The sequence below is a fragment of the Homo sapiens genome, chromosome 6 (assembly GCF_000001405.40).
Source record: "Homo sapiens chromosome 6, GRCh38.p14 Primary Assembly".
NCBI lineage: Eukaryota > Metazoa > Chordata > Mammalia > Primates > Hominidae > Homo > Homo sapiens.
The window spans coordinates 51,602,916-51,628,837 of NC_000006.12; the positions used below are offsets into that span (position 1 = coordinate 51,602,916).

Below are 25,922 nucleotides of genomic sequence, written 5' to 3' on the forward strand. Positions count from 1 at the left end.
GTCAATGATGCTCCACTCTCTTTAATAAAGGAGTTTTCTTCATTCATACAATGGGAAAGGGGTGAAGTGGAGAGAGGTTAGGAAATTAGCTATAAAGAAAGAAAGGTATAAGAGACAGAAATAATTAGAACTTCCACAGATTATTCTGTAATAGATAAGGCAAACAACATGTGAAAACCATAAGAAAGCTTTGTTTTAACTAAATTAATGGTAATTTCTTTTTCTAGTCGTCATTGGGTGGGGGTACCTTAATTATTTGTGTTATGAAATTTGATAATTTATATTGTTCCTTTCTGGTTCTCTGCAACTTTGCCAAGGGTGTGGAATGATAGTGTTTTGTATAGTGACTTTTTCTTTTCCCTCCTTCCTTACTTAAAATAAAGTTTATTGCCTTTCCTAAACAAAATAAAGCAGAAAAACATATATTATTGAATTTACTTTTTAAAAAAGAAACCCCAAATGTGTGTGTTCAAACATTTCTCCCCTCACATAGAGACTTGGGAAGAATTTAGTGCTAAATAAATGCTGCCTCAAACCAGGCAAGATAAAACATAAATCATTGCATTAAAACCTCTAACAAGTCTATCTGCTTTTTGAAATGACTGGGAGATGAAAGCGAGGAGTCTCATTTAAGAAGGCCCAGCGGATCAGTTCTGCATTTATATAGCTGTTATCAAAAGCAATTCATTTGGAGATCAAATAGACTGACAGATAGGACAAGCAGGGGATCACCACTGCCTTCAGGCAGCCCAAAGCTAGGATGGCTTCCCAGCACCTCACTAATATTGGGTCTAGTCAATGCTCGTGTTTATTACCATTTCCATCCTCTATCGCCTGGCTGCACACTAACACATACTGCTGTCCCTTCCTAGCCAGACAACTGTCGGGAAAGCAGTAATAAGAATAGTGTTTACCCAACTCGATTGGATGGAAAAATTCCTTCATTGTACTTCAATGAGCAGACCACATTCATCCAAAATTTGGACAAGCAGGACAATGATGTAGGGCAGTAAAAGCAGGAAATAAGAGAAACTTGCCAAGGGGCACGGGTTTCATGACCTCATCAAGATAGGCAGGTTCCCCAAGTCTTCTCCAGGTTGCAGATTGAGCTGAATGCCCTGCAGCTGATTTGCCTACAGTAGGTGGAGGGAAAGCACACCAGTTTGAAGTGAATTTGCACAGGTGAGCATTTCCAGGGTTAGCATTGAGGATGTTTATTTATCAGTGAAAAGTGTGGAGTTTCTAGTTCTCATTGGAACATAACATACTGAATTTTATTTTCTCATTAAAAGACAGCATGTTAAATTGTCGAAATTCTGAGTAATATAAAAACAAAGAAGAAAATAAAAAATAAAAATCAAGTATTTCAGAGAGAACTCCTGCTAATTAGTACACATATTAATATAAATATGAACATAAATACCCACACAAATTTAGATGAGATCACACTGTATGGATTCTATATGTTTCACTTAACATTAAAAAGTAAGTTTTTATGAAATTATTATTTGAAAGCAGAATTTTTAGTGAATCAAAATCTTTTAGTTATATGGATGTAGCAATCTTAATTACTTCTCTTTCGTCAATAACACTTTTGTTGTTGCTGTTGCTTTGTCATGTGAGTGTCTAAACTTGTTTGACACTTAAAATACACACCATTTGGCTAGAATATTCTGGAAAAATAAACATAAACTGGCTAACGCCAGCAAAACGTGAAACCCGGTATTATTTTCCTTCCATAGGACTTAAGGTAGCAATCAATCAACAAATATTTACTGCATTTACTCTCTTCTTATTGCCTAGGTAAATCATACATATTTAGAAATATTTATTTACACATATGTTAAAAGCACAATTCTTGCCTTAAGTCTGAGCCAGGAAAACAATGTTTTCTTATACTCACTCATTTAACATTCACATCCACTCTGTTACTACGTCACTGTATTAGAAATGAAGTAGAGAACCCAGTGATATGGGGGACATGGTCCTTGCTGTCAATATGTTTATAATCTACTTGAGGAAACTGACATATTCTGTAAAGTGTTAACAGCTACTCATCACCTTGTATAATTGCAAAGGCAGCATAGACAATCTCAAGCAAGGGAAAGCTCACCTGGTCATGAGAGACCAGAGATAGACCTGGTCCCAGGCTCAGAGCACATGTAGGACATGAATAGAGGAAGGACAAGAGGGAAAATTGTAACTTATAAAGAGAAAAACAAATGTTCCTTCTTATATTTTTAAGACTTAAAACATACCACATTTTCCTTGAAAACCAACAGGCCAGGGACTTTTACCTTTGTGTCTATGGTTCTATCACTTAAATTCCTGTGCCCCTGTCTCAGCAGGACTGAAAGGAGACTTTAGAGAAGAGCTGACAGAAGAGATTCATTCTAGGATCTCTCCATTCTCACCACACCATGGACAAGGTATATGACAGTAGCGGAGTACTATAACAGAGGACTTCATCCTTAATTCCTATATTATATGCTCAGCTGCAATCATGGGTACGGTTTGTCATTAATATAGATTTCCTTTCCAATCTTACCCATAGACATAAATGGCCAGAGAAGATATTATTTCTGGTAGGTTGAAAAATGGCCATTCCTCATATATCCTCATCCAAACCCTTGGAACCTGTGAATATCACCTCACATAGCAAAGGCAACTTGCAGATGTGATTAAGTAAGGGTTGTTGGAAAGGGGATATTATCCAGGATTATCCAAGTGGACCCTAAGTGTATTCACAGGGTTATTTATAAGAGAGAAAAAGATCAGGAAAACAATAGGAGACATGGAGCAAGAAGTTGGAGTGAAGTAGATGTTGGAATAATGACTTTGAAGATAAGAGGAAGGAGTCACAAGACAATGAACATAGGCAGCCACTAGAAGCTGAAAAGGGAAAGGAACCGGCCTTGACTCCACCTTCATTTTAGCCCAGTGAAACTGATTTTAGACTTCTGACCTCAAAAATTTTAAGATAATAAATTTGTATTGTTTTAATCCATGAAGTTTGTGGCAACAGCAGCAATAGGACACTAGTGCATTATTTGAGGTACCTCTATAAAATAACCTCCATCTTTAGATATAAATCCTTTTAGGCTATGGATTGAGAAATTTGTTAAAATGAAAATACTCCTAAAAGGTATGATATATTTAACATTACAACATTGGTGTGGATTATTCTGTAAAACTATCCATAAATTCTAGAAGAAATAGGTCACTGGATAGGTAAGTTTGAAGGGAAGGACAGAGAAAGGGTAGGCCCAGTGCTTGAGATATATCTGGAATGAGCTGGTCAGAGTTCATGAGATTTGGTCAGTCAGGTTAGAAGAATTAAGATAGGCAAAAGGTAAAAGAAACCCAAAATGCACATGTTAATAATAATTCTGTAATTTTGCTTTTTTTTTTTTTTTTGAGACGGAGTTTCACTCTTGTTGCCCAGGCTGGAGGGCAATGGCGTGGTCTTGGCTCACCGCAACCTCCACCTCCCAGGTTCAAGCTATTTTCCTGCCTCAGCCTCCCAAGTAGCTGGGATTATAGGCACCCCCCACGACACCCAGTTAATTTTGTATTTTTAGTAGAGACGGGGTTTCTCCATGTTGGTCAGGCTGGTCTTGAACCTCAAGTGATCTGCCCACCTCATCCTCCCAAAGTGCTGGGATTACAGACGTGAGCCACCGTGCCCAGCAACCTTGCTTTTATACTCTACACATAGAATTTTTACACATTCTCAAGCCAAGTACTCTAGTTTTAATTAGTACACAAAAATACTAAGAAGAAATAATAATTATGTAAACGAATGCAGCCACTATGGAGAACCGCATTGAGGTTCCTCAAAAAACACAAATAGAACTCCATATGAGCCAGCAATCCCACTACTGCGAAAAGGAAAGGAAATCAGGAAGAGACATCTGGACCTCCATATTTATTGCAGCACAATTCACGATAGCCAAGTTATGGAATCAATCGAGGTGCCTAACAATAGATGAATAGATAAACAAATGTGGCATATATACCATGGAATACTATTCAGCCATAAAAAAGAAGGAAATCATGTCATTTGTGGCAACATAAGTGGAACTGGAGGACATTATGTTAAGTGAAATAAGCCAGGAACAGAAATCTGAACACCGCAGGTTCTCACTCATATTTGGAAGATTAAAAAAGTGTTGATCTCATAAAAGTAAAACAGAGGATACTAGAGTCTTGGAAGGGGGAAGAAAGAAAGGGATAGAGAAAGATTTGTCAAAGGATATAAAATTATAGCCAGATAGGAGGAATAAGTTCCAGTGTTCTCAGCACTGTAGGAGGAGTACAGCTAACAATAATATATAGTTTCAAATAGCTAGAAGTAGGACAGTGAATCTTCCCAACACAAAGAATTGAGAAATCTCTGAGACGATGGTAATCACTAATTAACCTGATCTATTCACTATACATTGTACATATCCAAACCTCACTATATACTCCATAAATATATACAATTGTTATGTGTCAATTTAAAAAAAGAAAAACAAAAACCATGAATGTATATTGAGCTCTAAATAATAAAATGTGAGCTGAAATGTTTAGAAGTGACCTGTAGCAATGTCTGTAACTTACTTTAAAATCGATAAAACAATAAGCTGGACTGATAAATAGATAGAGGGATGGGTGAATGGATAGGTGTGAAATAAAGCTAATACAGAAAAATGTTAAAAAAGAAAAATATATCTAGTTGAGCAATCAAGGATTATGGATTCCAAATACAATCGTTCAAGTTAAAATGTCTACATTATAACCATATAAACTCTCTCCTTGTACAGAATCATGACTTTATTTCTAAATTCCAAACATGATGCTTTCTATTTCAGGGACGACCTCTGCTAGGTGAGAAATGATATAGCTCTTTTGGAAAGTGAATGCACTGTTTGGTCCAACACTTGTTTTACATTTTTGGACCTTAATTGTAGAAATGCATCTAAACTGGGTTATGTCTTTTAACCAGATATTTGTTTATGAAATATCAGTCGTGTTCTTTCAGCACATCACTAAGTATCCAAAAAGCAAAACTCAGGTTCTTATATACTGACTACTTACAACCATATCACAAAGAATGTTTTTGTTTTTGTTTTTTGGTGACATAGCAAATATATTTATATGAAGATTCTTACCTAATCACATGGGAACTACATTTGATATTTCCTAGTTTATAAAAGGAACAAAGAATAGAACAGTAGTTACAAAGCAATTTTAATTATTTTTTAGAAGTAGATTATGCAGGTATAGAAGTCTGATGCTAGAAGAGAAAGAAAAAAAAACACTTATTTTCTTATGCAGTGAAATATAATTCTAAAGCCAGTATTCAAAGCTCTTTAAAAGTTGATAAAAAAAAAAAAAAACTTAACCACAAGTCAAGAAAAAGGGAGAATAAGAATACCATTTCTGAAATAACAATAGTAATGTTTGAGTCCTGCCTCCCATCTTTTGGAGGTCTGAATTGTGTCTGCCAAGTTTGGACAAATCAAGGAGAGTCCTTTCAGGCACAGCTAAAACTTCATTTAACTTAAGACCATTTTACAAAAATATATAGTCTGTGATATTAATAATGTATTAATATATAAGGAATTACTATTTTAGTGTGACTCACCCTCATTTACGTGGGACTTTTTGGAGCTTTTTAGTTTACCAAGGAAAGTCCCATGTCCTCAGAAAACCCCCAGTCTCAGGCAAATCAAGACAGGTAGTCCAAATATAAATATATTTCTCCTGATAAAATATCATTTCGAAAATGATTTTACCCGCTTAAAATGAGCAAATTAAAAAATAGACTAGAAAAATTATCTCCTTGTTAAACAAAGGCAGTATTTATGATTTTTATTTAAATGAGGTAGAATATAGATAGAGTATATATTTTAAGTCATAGTGGTATTGTAAATGTCAATTTAATTATTGGCTAAAATTTTAATTTATTTTTATTGCAATGTGAAATTAAAATGTACTTTTTTCTTTTTAAGTTAATCATATTTTTAAAGCTCCAAATTAAGATTTTCTCTATGCACAAGTCAGCAATTGTGCATATATTCACACCCAGAATAAAGCATTTATATTTCTAATGCTATTTCAAGGCCTGTATCAGATTTAAGATCTTTATTATCTCTGAGACAGGACAGCATGCAGACAAATGTCCTAATGGTCTAAGCTTTCAAAGAATGTTGGCATTTATTCTATGGATCTGCATCTCTGCACAGCGACCAGACAGGACTGCGCATGACACAGCTAAATACAATTCCATCTTCCCAGTCCCTTCTCTTTCCCCTTTGCCCCCAAATCCTCCTTCTTCTCTTTTCTGCTCCCTCATTCGAATGTTCATTTTGAAGATATGCTTTTCGCCAGGATTAAAACAGGGTTTGCATTTAAAATTTTCATTTACCAAACAGAAAAATATTTTACTAGAAGGGAATGGTATTAAGGGGAAATGATTTTCCGTGTGCCCCGAGGCCCAGCATAGACAGGATTTGATTTGCTATGTTCGGCTGGAATCTGGATTGATACGCAGAGATGAGAGGGGGTGTTTAATAAAATTTACATTTCATTTTCTCACTTGACACCAGTCTCCTGTCACTCATGGAACTGATGGGAATGCTGCAAATAACTTTTGTCAGAATCTAGTTGGGGAAACAGACTGAGGAATGAGAAGACAGAAAGGGGGAAAGGGAAGAGAGAACAGTTTAGCTTGTTTTTGTCTTGTGGCTTCAGTGATGGAAGTAGACCCACTGAATCTGGGGGACATGACAGTTGGTCACCTCCACACTGGAAGGACCAGGTGCACCAGTGAGAAACCTGGGAAAGGCACATAGGAGTGGACATGATCCAGCTATGCACAAGGGCAGTCGTGCTTGGAGGGGAATCTATGGATTGAAGGAGGGGTTTAAGCTTATGGACGACTAGAATTTGTTTGTGTCAGCTGAAAAAGAGATCAGAAGACATACAAGCAAAGGCAAGAGGAGAGGATTAAACTCTTCTTTTTTCAGTGAAACCATAGTGTCTGTAATTTTACACTTCATTCTAAACTAGAAATGTCTGTTTTCCACTTCTGTGTCACAAATTACCACAAACATAGTGGCTTAAAACAACACCCATTTATTAGATCTCAGTCCTGTAGGTCAGAAGACTGGGCAGGCTCACCTGGATTTTGTTCTTAGGGTCTCATAAGGCTGTTATCTAGATGTTAGTTGGTCTGGGCTTTTATTGGGAGTCTCAGGAAGAATCAGCTTCCGTGCTTATAAAGGTGGTTGGCATAATTCATTTCCTAGTGGAGATAGGACCATAGTTCCCTTTCCACACTGGCTGTCTTCTGTGGGCCACTCTTAGTTCTGAGAGGCCACCTGCATCTCTTGCCAAGTGGCCTGTTCCATCTTCAAAGGAGCAAGGACACATGAAATCATTCCCAAGTTTGACATATCTCTGACTTCCTCTTCTGCCATCAGCCAGTAAACAAAAACTCTCTTCTTTTAAGACATTCCTGAGATGAGGTAAGGCCCACCAAAATAATTTTCCCACCTTAAGGTCAACTAATTAGTAAGCCTAATTTCATCTGCAGTATCCCTTTGCTATTTAATCATGGGTGGGACATCAGGTGGCTGAGATCATGGGATCACCTTAAAATTCTGCGTGTCACATTGTCCTTCCTATGTGTGATCCATGAGTGCCAGCCCAGGGGAGGTAGAAGGGCATGTTGCTGTGGCCAGCATAGCTGGTGACTTCTGAGAAGCCCGAGAACCAGAAGGCTAGAAAGCGAGGCATTTAATGGGGTCCCCCTAACGGCGGAATCTGTGAACCAAAAAGGGATGTATGGTCACTATGAGTTCCAGATAGAATCCCATTTGGGGCCTGTTTTTTTTGTTGTTGTTGAACCTTAGAAATAATAAGGATTATTTGTCAAAGGGAACTAAGATATTATTAAGCAAGGAAGGGCCTATAGAATCAGAAGATATTTGAGTTACATATTTGTAAATGTCTTAATCCGTGTCTTTCATAACAACAAAATGAGACTCAAAAGTTAAAATTACTTTCTATTGATAAGAAAGTTAGTTATAATTACTTTCTATTGATGCCAACAATGGTGTGACATGTTTCTACATTCTAATTCAAAGTGTTTTTTCCTTCACTTGACTTGGTATAATAAACAAAGGAGGAATCTAACAAAAAAAAAAAGAAAAAAAAAACAGCCCTTTGGAAGGCTGAGGTGGGCAGATCATAAAGTCAAGAGATTGAGACCATCCTGATCAACACGGTGAAACCCTGTGTGTACTAAAAATATGAAAATTATCTGGGTGTGCTGGCGTGCACCTGTAGTCCCAGCTACTTGGGAGGCTGAGGCAGGAGAATCACTTAAACGCAGGAGGTGGAGGCTGCAGCGAGCTGAGATCAGGCCACTGCACTCCAGCCTGGCAACAGAGCAAGACTTGGTCAAAAAAAAAAAAAAGCCTCTGCAAGGTCCAGAGGGCTCAGGGCTGTTTGGGCAGGCAGTTCAGCCTTGAGCATGCAATGGATGGTCTAAAAGGAGTGGGCATGGTGTGTAAGTGGGCACATCCCCTTGACTTCATGGATTCCCTGTCTGTGTGAGAAATGTAGCTAGGGGTGGGGTGACGTCAAAGTGGAGCCCTCTAGAGCACAGAATTTAGGACAGAAACTTCTATTCACTAGGTCTAAAGGTACAGTATCAGCTGGGGTGTTGTATATGTCTGATGCAAGTTTCATTTGGCATATCAAGAAAAGAGGAAATTTAGAGACCATTTACTCCGTGATCTCCCAGTGTATAAATTAGACTAGGGAAGAAACATTTAACCATGCCTTAAAAATATCAACAGAGTAGGATGCTGAAATATTCATAATACTTGCACTTCTTTCCAAGTAAGTAGAATTCTTTCCTAATACCTAATCTCTTCAGTTACAGTGGATATTCTTCCGTCTGGCCCAATCTGAATTGAAACCACACCTACCATCTTTTTAATATAATTTCACATGTTTAAAATGGTTATTAATTATTCATTCAGCCGTTTATTTCCTGTACTCTATAGCAATTCATCACTGATGAATCCATGATCTGGGAATCAGTAACTCTTCTAGTCACACTTATATATTTCCTCCTATCTGAAAGGTTCTCTTCCCTATCTACTTATACCGTATCTATTATTTTAAGTCATACTTAAGTTTTCCTTCCCTATGAATACTTCTTTTCTTATTACAAATATTATTTCCCTCTTTTTGCAATTATTATTGCCTAGTATACAAGGAGGATAGGCAATAGAATCACTTGGAGAGAACTGAATCTGTAGAAAGAAGTGCCCAAATGTTTAAATAACAGAAAAAAGATAGTATCATTTTCTAATTATTCCTACACAGAAACAACTCACACTGGTTTCTGACACCTTTTCTAAAACACTAAAGTTAGAAAATACTCGAATGATGTTTTCAGAATTTTACAGAGTAAAGGTTCCATGTATGAAGCCATTTTTATGACAAAGGGGCTAAGGAATAATATATCCCATGTAACTTACTTGAAAAAAATTACTAGAAGATTTATTTCAACATATTAAGATATAACTGTGATTAATGGGTCACAAATTGGTAAGCCATGATAATAAAAGATTATCTAGTAACACAGGAGTAAATTCAACATAAAGATACATCCAAATAGTTGTTAAACATTTGGTTATAAAACAAAATGCAAACACTAAAATCGTTTTTAAAAGAAAAAATACAAATATTAAAAGAATAACTTGAAATGGCTGTTAATATAATTTGTGGTTGATATTACCAATCTCACTATCCAATAAAAAAAATTGGATGGGTGAGACTGCATTGAGGCAGGAGTGTAAAATTATATTAAATTTAATGCATTAAAAAAATAAGATACCATTTCAAGCTCGCGAACCTTTAAAATATACACTTTCAAGAACATAGTGGAAAGCATATGCAATATTGATGATACGAAAAAATGTCTCAGTCATTTTGGGCCACTGTAACAATCTACCATAGACTGAGTGGCTTAAATAACAGACATTTATTTCTCACAGCTCTCGAGCCTGGAAAGCCCAAGATCGAGGTGCCAGCAGATTTGGATGCTGGTGAGGGCCCTCTTCCTTGTTCACAAACAGCCAGCTTCTCACTGTGTCCTCATATGGCAGAGAGAGAAAGAAAGAGAGAGATGAAGGAGACAGATGATGCATTGAAGTAGTTGGTAGAGTGAATGAAAACCAAGGAAGTAATAAAATGTGTGAACAAAAGTCTTTCAAACAAATTTGCTGGAGTGGAGGTAGAAAAATTGTAAAGAGATTCGAAGAAGCCTATTGAATCAAGGAATGTTTTCTTTTTCTTTCTTCCTTTCTTTTTTTTTTTTTTTTTTTTTTCAATAGTGGGAGCTTTTTAACCATGTTGGATACTCACAGGAGTAAACCAGTAGATTGGGAGAGATTAATGATCCTGGAAGGAGAGGATAATCGAAGCAGTGACATCCTTGAAAATACAATAAAAATATATGGGTGGGAGAAACTCTTGATATTTGGTATTATTAGACGTATAGCCCAAATTTATAGCACTTCTAGAGTTCTCCAAACTACAGATAAGCAGCTAGGATTATTTATTCATGCAACAATTTTTAAAAATTTTGGAGAATCTTATTTCTCAGGCCACATTCACTGTTTGCAAATTAAAGCCCACAGCCTCTTGACTTCAGCTTCTATTACAGGAGCCTGAATCTCTGGAACCTCCCTGATAAGTATACAGTGATAGCTGCTACCAAGAGTCAGACCTTTGTGTTCAGGGTTATACACACACGAATTGTTTAATGACAGGGATACACTCTGAGAAATACACCATTAGGTGATTTCATCATTGTGCAAACATCATAGAGCATACTTAAACAAACCTAAATGGTGTAGCCTACTATACACCGAGGCTACATGATATAGCCTGTTGCTCCTAGTCTACAAACTTGTACAGCAAGTTACTGAACCAAATTCAATTGTAACACGATGGTATGTATTCATATATCTAAACACATCTAATCATAGAAAATGTACAGGAAAAATATGGTATAATCTTATGTGACCACCATTGTATTGTGGTCCATTTTTAACCAAAATGTTATGCAGCACTGAATATCAGTATCACATAGTATAGGCTTAGAATAAGCTCTCATGGAGCTGGACTGGAAGAAATACACAAGGTGGCACTAACATGGGGGAGGGAGGCATACTATTGGGTGGGCATGTCTCAGTGATGTGGGTATTATGTTGACTTGGGGTACACATCTGCTTCCACAGGGTCTCCTCTATAAGACTGCGATGAGAAGGAGACTGTTTTATATCTGGATTTTAGGAGTGATACTGAGGCCATAACTATATATGATTTTTCCTTATAGGCCCTTCACCCAAATGGAACCCTTGGTGACATGCCTTGTATAATAACCCAGGGACACTGTGGTAGTAAAGCAGACCCAGTCACAATCTAACCACTATTGTCCATAGCACCTTCTCTTCCTCACCTATAGACTTCCCTTACTTTTCCTTTTATTCCTCCCTGGCCTCTTTTCTCAGTCCATTCATCTTCCACTCAGACTCTTTTTCTTCTCCTTTGCATCTATTTTAGTTTTTCAAGGACTAACAGCATTTTCTATAAGCATTTCTGCAAAGATTAAGAGCATTTCCTGTAAGCATGTCCCATCCCTGGCTGAGATCTAAAGAGACTGCCAATCTCTGGTCAATCATAACTTGGAGAAAATATTTTAAAATTTATTTTAATAGTAAATGTATTTATAAAAGTATTGAAATACAAAAGGATATAAGATTTGAAGTGCAAATCAACCCATATTTTCTACTCCATTCCCTGGAGGTACCTATTACAAAATTATCTTGACTATCTTTTCATAATTGTTCTATGTATAAGCAAACTATAGTAAAAGCATACTATACAGATGGTTTTGAGATTTGCTTTTTTTTTTACTATAACAGCATAACTTGAATAATTTTCTACATGAGTCATTCTACTAAATGACATACCATTAACTTGAGGAAATGTTAGAAGGAAAAAATATAGTCCAAACAATTTTTGTAATTTGCCTTGGACCCTAACAAAGTTATGGCAACTGACTTTTTTATTTATAAAATGGAGAGAAGAGTAGGTATTTCCTTCACCTTGTTATAGCTACTAATTTTGAAATAAAATGTAAAGTGATAATAAATAAGATTATCTTGGGACTGATAAGAGATAATGTATGGACAATTAATTATTTGAATCCCTTAAAATCTAGAAAGTCCTAAAAATGCATTAAATAAATGTTCTAAATTGTTCCGAGCAAAGAAATCACCAAATAAAAAGAACAAATGCTAGAAGAATATTTGTAAACATTCAAATCTCTGTATTCTGCCACTTAATCCACATTTAAGTTTACAGAAATGTTTTATTTCTTTTTGAAAATTACCTTGTAGAAATGTGACTTTTCTATCAAATATATCTGTAATTAGTCAAAGTGCTATAGTGTATGTTGAAATCAACAGTTCTATACTCAATAGTATTTAATTCCTTGTGCTTATAGTTTTTTCAAAATTGGCATAGACTATAAGTTCTGAAAGCAAAATATGGAATGCATGAATTTTAAATGACAGAATTAATTAAAATTCTTTACTGTTATTGACACGTACAATTTTATAGAAGCTTGGTTGAATAATATTTGCATATGATTTACATTTGATTTCCTCATACTCATTTTTGCATATAGTTTGCAGGCATTTCAATGTATAGTAATTTCATATATTTGGAGTAAGACTGATAGATGGAAGGGAGTCATTCAACTAAATTGTTGAAAGGGGAAGGCCCTGAGAGAGCTCAACTGTTCTTGGTCCTTGGTGGCCTCACTGGGCAGTAACAAGGGCAAGTCTATTGAAGGGCAAGTTCACCTTGATCAGATAAGCTGAGTCTCGCACTCTGGAAGAGACTTGAAGTTCTGTTGGTCAGGTACTTTCCCTGAACACAGTCCCTGCCCCCCAAAAAATGTCCCCCTCCCCAAACAAAAAGCATGGAGAAATGGTCAAAACAACCGTGGCTCCATATATACTTCTTTCTCAATTTTGAAATCTATAAATATTTATAGATGTTCTTTATTTGACAAATAAAAATTGTATATATTTATCATGTACAACTCGATAGTTTGAAATATGTATACATTGTGGAATGGATCAGTTGAACTAATTAACATATGTATCACCTCACACACTAGCATTTTTTGTGGTGAGAACACTTAAAATGTACTTTCAAACACTTTTGAACTCTCTAGAATTTTAGCTTGTCCAATCTCTTGAGAGAAATGAGTCCATCAATACAGAAAATCAGCAATGGGAGGCAAGAAGAGATTCTTTGAACTAACACAGGAAAAAAGCACATCTCAATATTTATTTAGATAAAGGGTGTAGATTGTCACTGCTGGGAAATATTTGCTGGGTTACCCATGTTAACGATCTGAATAAATTTAGAGTTGGCCTACAGTGGTGCTCAAATTGGCTCATCTCCAGACATGAATGAACATAGAGCTGCTCTCTTTGCTTTTGGTGTTTCCCTAATTCTCTCATTTTTTTTTTTTTTTAGGAGAAAGAGGAGTAGCTTAACTATGGGTTGAGGAATTTTAGCTAGATGCCAAAATTCCATGCCACATGCTAGAGCCTGGCAAGTTACTGAAGATGTTTATAGCTGCTATTTAGGCCCAAAGAGTCAATTCTGGCCTCAGGGATCACAGGCTTTTCTGGGATGGAATTAGTAAGATAATTATGGTTATTCCTACGCAGAGGGATAGGATAAAACATGCCTCCCAGAAAGACTGGTCTTGTGACACATAGAGGATAAATAAGAAGATAATAAAAATTGGAAGAAGGGTAAAGAAGGGGCAGAAATAACAGAGCTGGCAGCTAACTCTTTGTGAAGGGCGAAATAGAATGAAGAGTCATGACTGACTTCTAGATTTCTGGTCTGAGTGCAGTGATGTCATTCATTGAGTTGGAAAAAAACACAAGGAGAAGTAGGTTTTTGGGCTGTGTTAACTTCATAGTAACTATAGGATAACCTACTGGATATTCTCACTAGGCAGCTAAATGCATGGTATAGAGCTCAGGAAAAATACCTGTGGAAAAAAAACTTAAAAAGTGGTGAAAGAATCCGAGGAAATGAAAGAAAGCATGTGCAGGTAAACTGAGGCAGGGCAAGGACTAAGACTGCTACCATTTTATAAACCTCAAAAGCCTTCACTTCTGAAATGTTTTTTTCCAAAAAGCTTACGGCTCTTTGAGGATCCAATGAGTATACTAAAGTAGAGATTGCAAAGGCAAATGACTTCAAGACCGAGAATCTACAAAAAAAGATAAATAACTGGTTATAACAGGGACTAATTAAACTAGGGAAGGCATGTTCTGCCTAAGTCATTCGAGTTTTTTTTTGTTTTTCGTTTTTAATTCTGTTGGTGCCCAAGCAAAATACATCATCTACAAAGAGGACTTACTCAGCATGGCAGCCAGCTTGTGCCTCCAGAGTAAACGTCTATAAACCAACTTCTTGCAAATCATTCCCTGAACACAGATAGCCTGGATTGAAATCTCCTGGAGAGCACTGACCTTAACATCTACTTATATTTTCTTCCAAATCCAACACAGTGACCACAGAGAAGGCTACCTACCTCCTTTTAGGGACAGCCTGAAGATCTGCAATACTCACCAGATGCCTAAAGAAGAGGTTAAAACATTTCTGCCAATTCTTAGTAGGGTGAGACACACCTGCCCCTTGATGCCCTGCAGACATAACAGCTGTCTGCCAGTACTTCTCATAGAACTAATTCAGGGCATCATTATTTAGAATTCAGCAATGAAAGAGTGTGTTTCCTTTCTCTCTTCCAATGCAACTACACAACAACCCCTTAACATTGTAGAGATTGGAAAATCCTGGTTTTCAGGATTTTCAGGAAAATCTGAGAGCAATCTCTTTTTGGAAGCTCTCCACATTCCTGCGATCTTTTCTTTACATGCTTGGAGCATAAGGCCTTCTGGATCCAGAGCCAAGGACACAGTCAGGCTGTTTAAAGTATTCTTCAGTTTGAAAAGAAATGGGCCCCGTACAAATGTGTGAATTTGGTGAAATTGCCTTTAACAACCTTACCAAATGTATCAATACCAGGTGAGCCTTTGTTCTGATCTCCATTTAAACCCCCTGCACAGCCTAGAGCAGTTGCATATGACATAATCTCTCCTCTCCTTAGTATCACAGCTTTATGCATCATCTTCTCCAAAAAGCAGCTTTTTGATAAAGGACTTGGCCACTTGGCTTTCTCTGATCTCCCAATGTAGTTCTTTTCCAGTTGTAAATGTGACCCAGCTACTAACAGAGAGAATCACTGAAAAATAGAACAGTGGTCATACAAAATTTCCTTTCCCAAATTTGGCATTTTTACATCTTTGTCCTTAACTAAACTCTCAGCAAAGCCCATGAGAATATCAATTTTCATGTGTAAATCCTCATGAAGTGCAAATTTGATACGCTCACACTACTGTAGGTTCTCAATAATGATTGAATTTAAACCATGAAATAAAATCCACTTGTAAAAAGCCAGGAAGTTGCCTTGTGGTTGGAAGGTAAGCTCTGACAGATCAGGGAGCAGGGTGTTGAACTGTCCCTTCAAATGCTACTACAGGATAAAGAAATGCTTTTCTGTAACAGTGTGGAATTAAACTGTAGCTGACCAGACCTTTTCATGATCCCTTCTATAAAAGAAGCTCAAAGCATTGTGGGTGGTCAATCCAGAGAATGCTTAATAATAACCCCTGCTGGTATAAGTCAGTATTACACCATTATCAAGTTGTTAAAATCAGGCTTAAGTTAAAAACTGGTAAATAATTAACAAGTGCCATTATTTGCCTAGCATTGAACTAGGATCATGATAGCTGCAAAATATGTATGAGACATTTTTCAGTCTGTAAGCATTTATATGACTGTTTTCCATTTTAAAGTTGAAAAAGGGATTCAGAGTCCACATTCTCTCTTCTTAGTTGTCCCAGCAGGACAGTCCTCACTTCCCCAGCTTATTATCCAGAAATACTGGGAACATTCTGCCTTTCAGGCCAAATGCCCCCAACTTCCCTGATCACAGTTGCTCCTGAATAGTTTCCGGGTGTACTGAATGAAGGCAGAATGCCTCAGTGGCCCCGCAGGAGGCTTTCTTCTCTTGGGAAAGCCCCAAGCTGCCACTTTGCTTACTCAGCCGACTTTGCCCTGGCAACTGCTGCCTCTCTTGTCTGAAGTCTGGGCATAGCAGCAGCAGCTGATTTTGGCCTGCCAGCTGGTATCTGAGCAACTGCTCTTGGCCCTCCTTCCAGTTCCCAGTCTCTTGCAGGTACACCTGCTGAGCAGGAGCACCTGGAGCACAGATGTGCCCATGGGATGTGATGCCAGTAGTACCAGGAGCAGGCACAGCAGCCTCTTCCTCTCGGACAATGTGGCGGCTAACTTTCCTTCTGGACACTCCATTCATCAACTGGTGGGGGCACTGGTTCACCTTGCCCAGCATGACCTTCATTCTCATATCTGGGGGGAAAAGAAATAGGGGAAGAAATGGATTTAGTTTTCAACCAGTTAATTACACATTTTGCATACTTAGCATTTCTGACAAGATATTGTCAAATCAAAGATTGAATTACATCAGCTCTTTGATTTCCAAATATCTTTTATCAGACACTCCAAATATGTAATAAAAAATTGGTAATACTTCTTCCTCAAAAAATACTTACATGATGTTGATAATTGAATGAGGATTTTTCATTGTAAGCGCTAGGCTTCAATGCAAAAACCAGACCATGGTCAGGCCTTACCAACTGGCCAACTCACACTTACCAACAGGCCAACTTACCAACAGGCCAACTTACCAACAGGCCAACTCACACCTGTGTTAAGAGATATGAACTATAAAAACCAGTCCTATCTAATACTTAGGCTCTTATACCAAGTTCACAATGTAAATATCTTTGGTATTATAAAAACATGAATATAAATATTTGCAGAAATAATCACATAAACATCTATGTATATGAGTGTGTACATGTATGGTTGCATAACAGTAGAAAGAGAGATGGCACATTACACTCAAGTCACAAAATTAGGCCCAAGTTCCCCTTCTCCTGCTATCTGGCTTCATGACTTTCATCCTTTCAGCCTCTCTGGGCTTTAGTTGCATAATTTAATTTATTCTCAGGTGCTACTTCAAAATTTACTAAAATATATTTATTTTAACAATGTTGTTTTAATTGATTTCCTCTTTGACATTTTATTTGTCTCTTATTTTTCTATTAAACAGACCTAAACATCAACTCAGAAGAGTACAATATACATAAACAGATGATCTAGGCACCATATAATACTGTGTAAAGATAAAGACTGCAATGGAAAGTTAAGAATGTTCAGTGGGATACATGCATGGGAGTATACCATGCATGCAAAGGTCACTATTCATATGCCTTACAGTGAGAAAAAGGTTGAACTTGTCCTAAACCCTGGGGGGTAGATGGTAATACTGTCATCTACTTTTACTACGTTTACTGTCCCTGCTTTTCTCACATCTCACCACCAAATACATTAACCACGCATTTGTATGTATTGAAGATCCTTAACTTATTAAGCTTTTTGTTATTTTTTTCCTGAGTTCATTGAGAGCTGTCTTGGTTTGTGTTAGGAGATAGTAATCCTGTCTGATTCATACTATAAGAGACAGTATTGGGATAGACAATACCAATTTCCCACTTCAATTTAATCTGGAAAATGAGGTAAGGATGAGAGAAAGTAATAACATTATATATACATATATATATATGTATATATATATATATAATGCTTTTGATTTAGAGCAGTAAAAAAAGATAATCATGTTGTTCCTATTATTTCCATGACACATCTACTAATATTATGATAAGCCCATGTTATTCACATTTTCTGTCTCCTGTTCCACAGTCCATTTGTCTAGCATGTATCTTCTACAGCCATCAAACTATGGGATGATTCTCTTGCTTAGAGCTATAAGAACTTTCAGGTTACCCTAGTTTTCCTAAGGAACCTGCAGCTCCTTCCAGAAGTGTTTCTTCACAGCTCAAACTACATTGATTTATGCCTCAATACTTGTCTGGAGTTTCTCATTTGACCTGCACAGTTGCTTCTATTATTAGTCACCTTTCCTTATGTAACAGTCTCATCTTCCTCTTAGGAATTTGAGTTCCTTCAAGGAAGAAATGTTTGTGTGCCGTCAACCTTGCTCCCTCATTATGCCCAGTCCTCTGCCAAGCACTGAGCTGGGCATCATCTCCATAATTACTGCTCCCACCAGGTGGAAAAGACATAGTTTATCAGGATCAGCAAATAACCAAAGAACAAGAATAATAAATTATCAGGTAGAAGCAAACTTTAAAAAGACAAAAAAGGCTTTGAATTTTAATCCCTTGGTAAAACCAATAGTGCTTCATACAAGAGGAATCAAACACTGCAAGTCGCCTATTTTCAACCCATTGAAGATACTGTTATCTTGTTTTTGAGAGACCTTCATTGGAAATCTTTTCCCCCTTGTTCTTTAAGTCCGCATCTATTCATGAAAGACTAACACAAGCATAGCTTTCCTTTGCAGACCCCAAAACATTTAAAAATCTCCCATGAATTATTTACATGGCAGCTCCAATCAGCAACATACCTGACAGACTCCCCAGCCGAAATGAAAGTTCACTGTGTAAAGGTGCCCAGAGAGGCTGGCCACCTCCTACTATGAGGTTATAGACAGAACTAAGTCAGCACACATTATGTGTCAGCGCCGACATCAGAAGGAATCAAATCCTTTGATCTTGGACCTCCACAGGAAGCTTAGATCTCAGACAAATTAGATAAAAAATGAATTTATAGCAGATACGTGTCCTAAGGCATTCAGCTGAATGTTTGGGTTTTAGGGAAGGAAGGATAGTGAGTATCAAAACATATGAATTGTCATGCCTCCTTTCCACCTCTGCCTTGTTGATGAGTTCCCATTAAAATGAAAAGATGGGATTTTAAACTGTTCCTCCATGCCTCTTAGAATCCCACTGGTGGATTTGATCAAGTTTTAGGGAAAATGGGATACAATATGGGGAACCTATATCTCTTCTCTATGGAAAGGAGGACTCACTGGTTCTGGGTTCTTTCGGGTCCACCCACAGTCAGCTACAGCTTTTCCAGCTATCCTTAGCCTCTTCCAACTTCCAAAACTTTCTTGAGCAGCAAATATGCACTGTGCCTTTGACTTTTAAAATTTGTGTGGGTACTAGTCACTGGCTTCTTTTGCAATAAGAATATTAACAATGAATCTCCCCTCTCTCTCTCTACCTCCCCCTACCCTGTTCATATTTTTTGAGCCTAGTTCCATGTGCAACATTCAGTATTGGATGATCTGGATTCAGTACAGAAAGCCTGGACTTTTGAGCCTAAACAGGATCTGAAGCAGAAGGATGAAAAACAGATCAACCAACAACAAGAATCAACCATCTTGGTTTCTCATTTGTCAATAATGGGCAATAGTCCTGCCCACATATCAGGGAATGTATATGCCATAATTAAATACTAATGCTTCTATCTTCTCTAGAGAATTTGTTCCTTTATGTGAAAAATATTATTTCTTCTTAATAAGCAATGTATGACAATTGAGGAGGCATAAAAATTAGAGAAAAATAAAAAGGAAAATGTCTGTAGTTGCACATTATATCATAAGTAATCTGCATTTTATTGTTTTTGTGATACTCTAGAAATGGATATGTTTTAGTAAACCTAATTTAACTCATTAATCCATCTGGAATTTCCTTTGTAATATTTTATAAAATGTGAATCGAGACTGATAAATGTTCTAAATAGTCAAATTTGCTAAACCTTTTATAAACTGTTTTCCTTTATATTTACTTTTATTTTCTCTTTTATTATATATTTCATTCCTGTATCTATTACCTATATATGATATCTATATCTACCTAATTGGGGCTATTTCCACTAATGTGCCCATATATTCTTGTAACAGAATCACATTATCTTAAGAATAGTGACATAAATATTATTTCCCTGATAGGGCTACCCATTTCCACTATCATAAAATCTATTTATTTTAGAAAATTGGCTTTGTATCATTAGTCTATATTTTCTGATGAACTTTGGAATCCATCTTATGCTATTCAACATTGCAAAGAATGATTGGAATTGCATTAATCCCATTTATTTGAGAAAAACTGAGGCATTTGCAATAATAGTCAATCTAATTGGAAACATACTATAATTCCCTATGTATTCAAGTCTTCTCTTTATACTATTTAATAAATTATAGTTTATTTTTATATAGGTTCAACATAACACTGGTTAAGACTTTTTTCAAGGCAGTATATCCTTTGGTCTCTATTGTACATTTCTTTATTTTTTTTCTAAATATATACCATTGACCTATACAATTTTTTGGACTGACATTATATTTGAGTGAGTTATTCAAAATATTTATAAATCATGGTAGTTAATGGTTGAATCTTTTAAGTTATTCTTAAAAAAGCATATCATCTGCAAACAACTTCCATCATTGTCCTCCTAATTTGTTGTATTTTTATTTATCTATTTTTTTTATTTTTTTGAGATGGAGTCTCGCTCTGTCACCCAGGCTGGAATGCAGTGGCATGATCTTGGCCCACTGCGCCCTCCACCTCCTGGTTTCAAGCAATTCTCCAGTCTCAGCCTCCCGAGTAGCTGTGACTACAGGCATGTGCCACCACACCCAGCTAATTTTTTCTGTATTTTTAGTAGAGACGGGGTTTCACCACATTGGCTAGGCTGGTATCAAACTCCTGACCTCAGGTGATCTGTCCACTTCGGCCTCCCAAAGTGCTGGGATTACAGGTGTGAGCTACCATGACTGGCCAATTTGTTTTATATATGCTGTGTTTCTTAGCATTCCAAAATATATGTTATAAAATTATGGTAAGAATGACTTATGTGTTTTCCTCATTTGAATATGAATTCCTCTAATATTCCATTGTTAATTATGATATTGGATCTTGATTGAAAATAGAATTGGAACTCTTTATTCTTTTTTAATTTTTTTTAAGAGACTAGGGTTTTATTATGTTGCCCAGGTTGGAGTGCAGTGGATATTTTCATAGCTCACTGCAGCCTCAAACTCTTAGGCTCATGCAATCCTCCACCTCGGCCTCCTGAATAGTTGGAAATACAGGTGCATACCACCATACCAGGCTCTTCATCTTATTCAGTGGGCATGCTGTTATTCCTGATTATTTTTTGAAGTTGTCTTGTGGGACAACTACTATATTTTATCCATGTTTTAAAATAGAAAATGTTCATTTTTTATTATATGACATGGACACATTATTTATCAATAATTTCCAAACATAGTTTTGCTTTCCTGAGAACTTGAGACAATTTCTAGTTCTCAGCTCCTTTGCTTCCAGATGAAGCTATCTCTGTCCTTTCCTATCCCTGTCATTCTCATGAAGCTAAAGCAGCCAGCAGAAAACTGTTAGGACCCCAAAAAAATGTGCATTCATCATCCTTTTGTATAGTTGGTGAACTTGGATAAAATTTCTATTAATACATTTCTTTTAGAAGAAGGCAGGGGCGGGTCTTTTTTTTCCCCAGCAGTTGTAATAACTACTGGAATCCAAAAGACCCTTGGATGTGAACACATATATAGCACACATAGTGTGCCTGAAATTGTTCTGTGCTCTTTACTGACACCAATTCACTTATTCTGTATAATAACCATAACTATGGCCAGTATCACTAGGGCCATGTTACTGATGAGGACACTGAAACACACGGAGAAATTAGTTCTCTTACTTGAGGCCACAAAGTCTGTCAACAGGGAGTCAGATTTAAACCCAGTCTGTTGGACTTCTGGGTTCTATGCTCTTAACTGTCACACTCTCCTGATTCTCCAACTGACAATGAGAATTCATTAAATCTTATGAGTAGAAGAGTGACATGAGCAGACATGGATTTAAAGAGGGCTTAGATGGCTCTTGATATCAAAAAACCTGGCAACAGTAAAATAGGAGGGATGTATACTTTACTATCTTCTTCCCCCATCACAACTTTCTAGCACCCTGACCGTACCATGCCATTTTTGGTAAAAGCTGTAATGTGGTAAATTTATAATCTGAATCTAGTAGTCATGCTCAGTTCCAACAGCTCAATAATCCTAAGTGCTATGGCAGTGCTTAGTGAAGGCAAAGTGCTGGAGAGAGAGAGACAGCCAGTCACTTTATCAGCAAATGTTAAAAGTTTAAAAACACAGAGGGAAAAGGGAAACTAAAGTGCCATGGCAATAATAGAATGAAACAAAATTTATGTAAAGCTACCAATAAGTAGGTGTTTCATAGCTGGTAATAATTTCCAAAGAAAAGCAGGAGATGCTTCATTATTTGTCTTCAAAACGATACTCTTCAGATTTGTACAAAGCTTAGAAGATAAGGAAACAAATCTGCTGTGATCCCCAGAGGAGGATTCGGATAACACATTTTTCTATTTTTAACTTGTATGTCCTAATAAAATGGCCTCTTTGATGCTCCCCTCTCTTCAATCTAAACTTTTCCACAGAGCCCTTTCCCTGTCTCATTCCTAATAATTTATTAATAAGCCACCACATAAAAAAGTTCCTTAATAAAACAGTTAGGCACTGTGGACGGCATAATGTAGTTAATTTAAGCGGGCCACTGAAATGCACATAAATGGCCATATGAGATTAAGAGAGAGATTAGTACTGCTCCTGCCACTCTCTGCAGATGGCAGCTGAATACGAAGAGCTATTCAGATGGCAGCGTTCAAACACCTGTCCTGAGTTTACATGCAATAATATGGTCAAGAGGCTTCTAAAAACCAAAATTAGAATAATCTTAGATGGAATCTTGAATAATTCCCATCCCCTTCTCTCTTTCTCTATTTATTTCAATAGCACTCCCAACCACACCCCCATACCCTCTACCACCTTCTGGTGCAGGTCCAGGAACTGGAGTATGGCTAACTAATACGATGGGAAAATTGAAAAAAACAAACAAACCTTTATTTCTTTCATGGAAAAATATACAAACAAGCAAACAAACTGATACACACTCATGCTCATGTGTGCATGCACACACACACACACCCACATAAACACACACATGAAAGATCTCACTCAGCTACTTAGAGGCAGAATAACATTGGACTGCTATTTTTTGCTTAAACACGCATTCAGAACCACTAAGATTGGTAAGCCTTTTCAAGCAGAAAATATGATAATTGACTCTTTGGAGTATATGTTTTAAAACGTTTCAGGCCCATGGAAATTATATGAATATTTTTCATGTATCATACCCATACTTGGCAAAGCCATCTTGTGCTCTGCCCAGTCTTCCTATTTGCAGCATTCTTAGTAGGACAAGGGCAAAGCATTCATCCCAGGCAAATGCTTATCTTTTCTCTGTTTGGCACTAATTCTAATGGCAATTTAACAATATAACAAGTAATATCATCTGACATAACACACCATAGAGGCAAATACTACATTTTGCTAAAAGTACAACTAAACAACAAAGCACAGCTTAACAAAGCTGACTCATTTGTCGAGGGTTCTGTACTCAATCTAATTTGCATAGTTGGTATTTGGCAACTGTACTCTTCTTTCCCAAATTCAATAATGTTGCCAAATTGGCAGCTTTGCAATAGCTAAAGGAAAGATTATATGCCTATACTCTGGTTTCCCCTTTCCTCTATGTAACAAACTCAAATGTTAAACCAATAATCTTCTACTAAAAACAATATAAATATCAATTCAAATAATTGGTGAATAGCTGAGTGAACCAGCCAGACCTGTGTATTTTTCTGCTGGGGTATAATTTCTTTGAAGGAAAGTAACAAAGACTAAGAAGGGGCTATAAACCAAATTGCTTCAGAGACAGAGCTGAAGGAGAGGGAGGCTCAGACCATCCACAGTGGGTCTCTCCTGTGGGGATCATCTCCACCCTCCAAGCTTACCTTCTCCCACCACAGTGTCTTCTTTTTTGGGCCCTTGTGATTCTCGGCGTTTGGATGAGATGTGGATATGAATATTTTGATTATTAGTCTGGGATTCAGGAATCTCTTCAGGTTTTGTTTCTGTATTAATGGAGAAGAAAAAGGATTTTTTTGTTCAGTTGTAAGTGGGACCATCAGCATTTAGGTGTTTCCCTTGTATGTACCCTTGTCCCAAAATTATCATACACATGCAACAGAAAGCATATAACATATTCAGAGTTCAAGAAATAATGGCATAAAATCCTATATACTGACCACCAACTTTATGGTATAAAACTGTACTGTCTGATACAAATAGCAGACACATGTGGCTACTGATCACTTAAAATGTTACTAGTTAAATTGAGATGTATTGTAAGTATAATGTACACACTCAATTTTGAAAAAAAGTGTAAACTAACTAATGTTTTTATATTCATTACATGCTGGAATAATATTCTTGATATATTATGTTAAATGGCTACTAGAGAATTACATATGTGCCTTGCATATGTGGCTCATGTTATACTTCCGTAGGACAGAACTGATTAGCTAGTGACAGAATATTACTAATACTTTTTTTAACCTTTAATTTTGAAATGAGTATTGATTCACAGGCAGTTGTCAAGAAATATACAGGGAGGATTCAAGCATCTTCACCCAGCCTTCTCCATTGTCAACAACCTGTGTAACTACAGTATGATATCAATACCAAAGAATTGAGACCGGTACAAGCCACCATACGCAAGATGAGGAGGGCTTTTAATAGAAGATTGTATATCTTCAGTCTATTCCTGGCTGAAGAGATACTTCATCTTCTATTCATTTATTTAATAAATTCATTCATCTAAAATATATTTACATTCCTCATGTCAGGCACTGTTTAAGGCTCTGGGAATAATACAGTGAGTAAAAAAGATCTGATCCCTACCCTCACTGAGCTTTTATTCTAGTTTGGATGGCAGAGGACAAACAAATAAATTTGTAATATGGCAAAGTAATGCCATAACATGGCATGAAAAGGAGATAGTTATGGGTAGGAAATAGACCTTTTCTTTTTCTTTTTCAACTTTTATTTTAGGTTCAGGGGGTACATGTACAGGTTTGTTACAGGTAAATTGCATGTCACTGGGGTTTGGTGTACAAATGATTTCATCACCCAAGTAGTGAACATAGTACCAAATAGGCAGTTTTTCAACCCTTACCCCCCTCCCACCTTCCCCACTCAAGTAGACCCTAGTCTCCATTGTTCCTCTCTTTGTGTCCATGTGAACCCAGTGTTTAGCTCCCACTTATAAGTGACAACATGCAGTATTTGGTTTTCTGTTCCTGCATTAATTCACTTAGTTTAGTGTCCTCCAGCCACATCAATGTTGCTGCAAAGGATGCGATTTCATTCTTTTTATGGCTGCATTCTATTCCATGGTATATATGTATCACATTTCCTTTATCCAGTACACTGTTGATGAGCATCTAGGTTGATTCCATGTCTTTGCTATTGTGAATAGTGCTGCAATAAACATTCAAATACATGTGTCCTTTTGGTAGACTGATTTATATTCTTTTGGGTATATACCCAGTAATGGGATTACTGAGTTGAAAACTTCTGTTTTAAGTTCTTTGAGAAATCTCCAAACTGTTTTGCATAGTGGCTGAACTAATTTACATTCCCACCAACAGTGTATCAGCATTCCCTTTTCTCCACAACCTCGCCAACATCTGTTACTGTTTTAACTTTTTAATAATTGCCATTCTGACTGGTGTGAGATGGTATCTTATTGTATACTAGACTTCAAACTATACTACAAAGGTACAGTAACCAA

The 25,922-nt window shown here is 36.8% G+C and overlaps 1 protein-coding gene and 1 long non-coding RNA gene across 14 annotated transcripts in view; one reads left to right on the plus strand and one right to left on the minus strand.

Annotated features, from left to right (window-relative positions):
• PKHD1 (PKHD1 ciliary IPT domain containing fibrocystin/polyductin) overlaps positions 12,384–25,922 on the minus strand; it is a 472,317-nt gene continuing 458,778 nt past the window's right edge. For all 13 annotated transcript variants that reach the window (XM_017010944.3, XM_017010945.3, XM_017010947.3 and 10 more), the window contains 2 exons: positions 24,082–24,201; positions 12,384–16,605 (listed from right to left, as the gene is read on the minus strand). In XM_017010944.3, the coding sequence (XP_016866433.1) occupies positions 16,166–16,605; positions 24,082–24,201 (560 nt within the window). In that variant the 3' untranslated portion in view covers positions 12,384–16,165. The remainder of the gene's footprint in view (positions 16,606–24,081; positions 24,202–25,922) is intronic.
• Positions 18,955–19,662, plus strand: LOC101927082 (uncharacterized). The gene is made up of 2 exons (NR_125840.1): positions 18,955–19,011; positions 19,445–19,662. It is a non-coding gene; the product is annotated as an uncharacterized LOC101927082 (long non-coding RNA).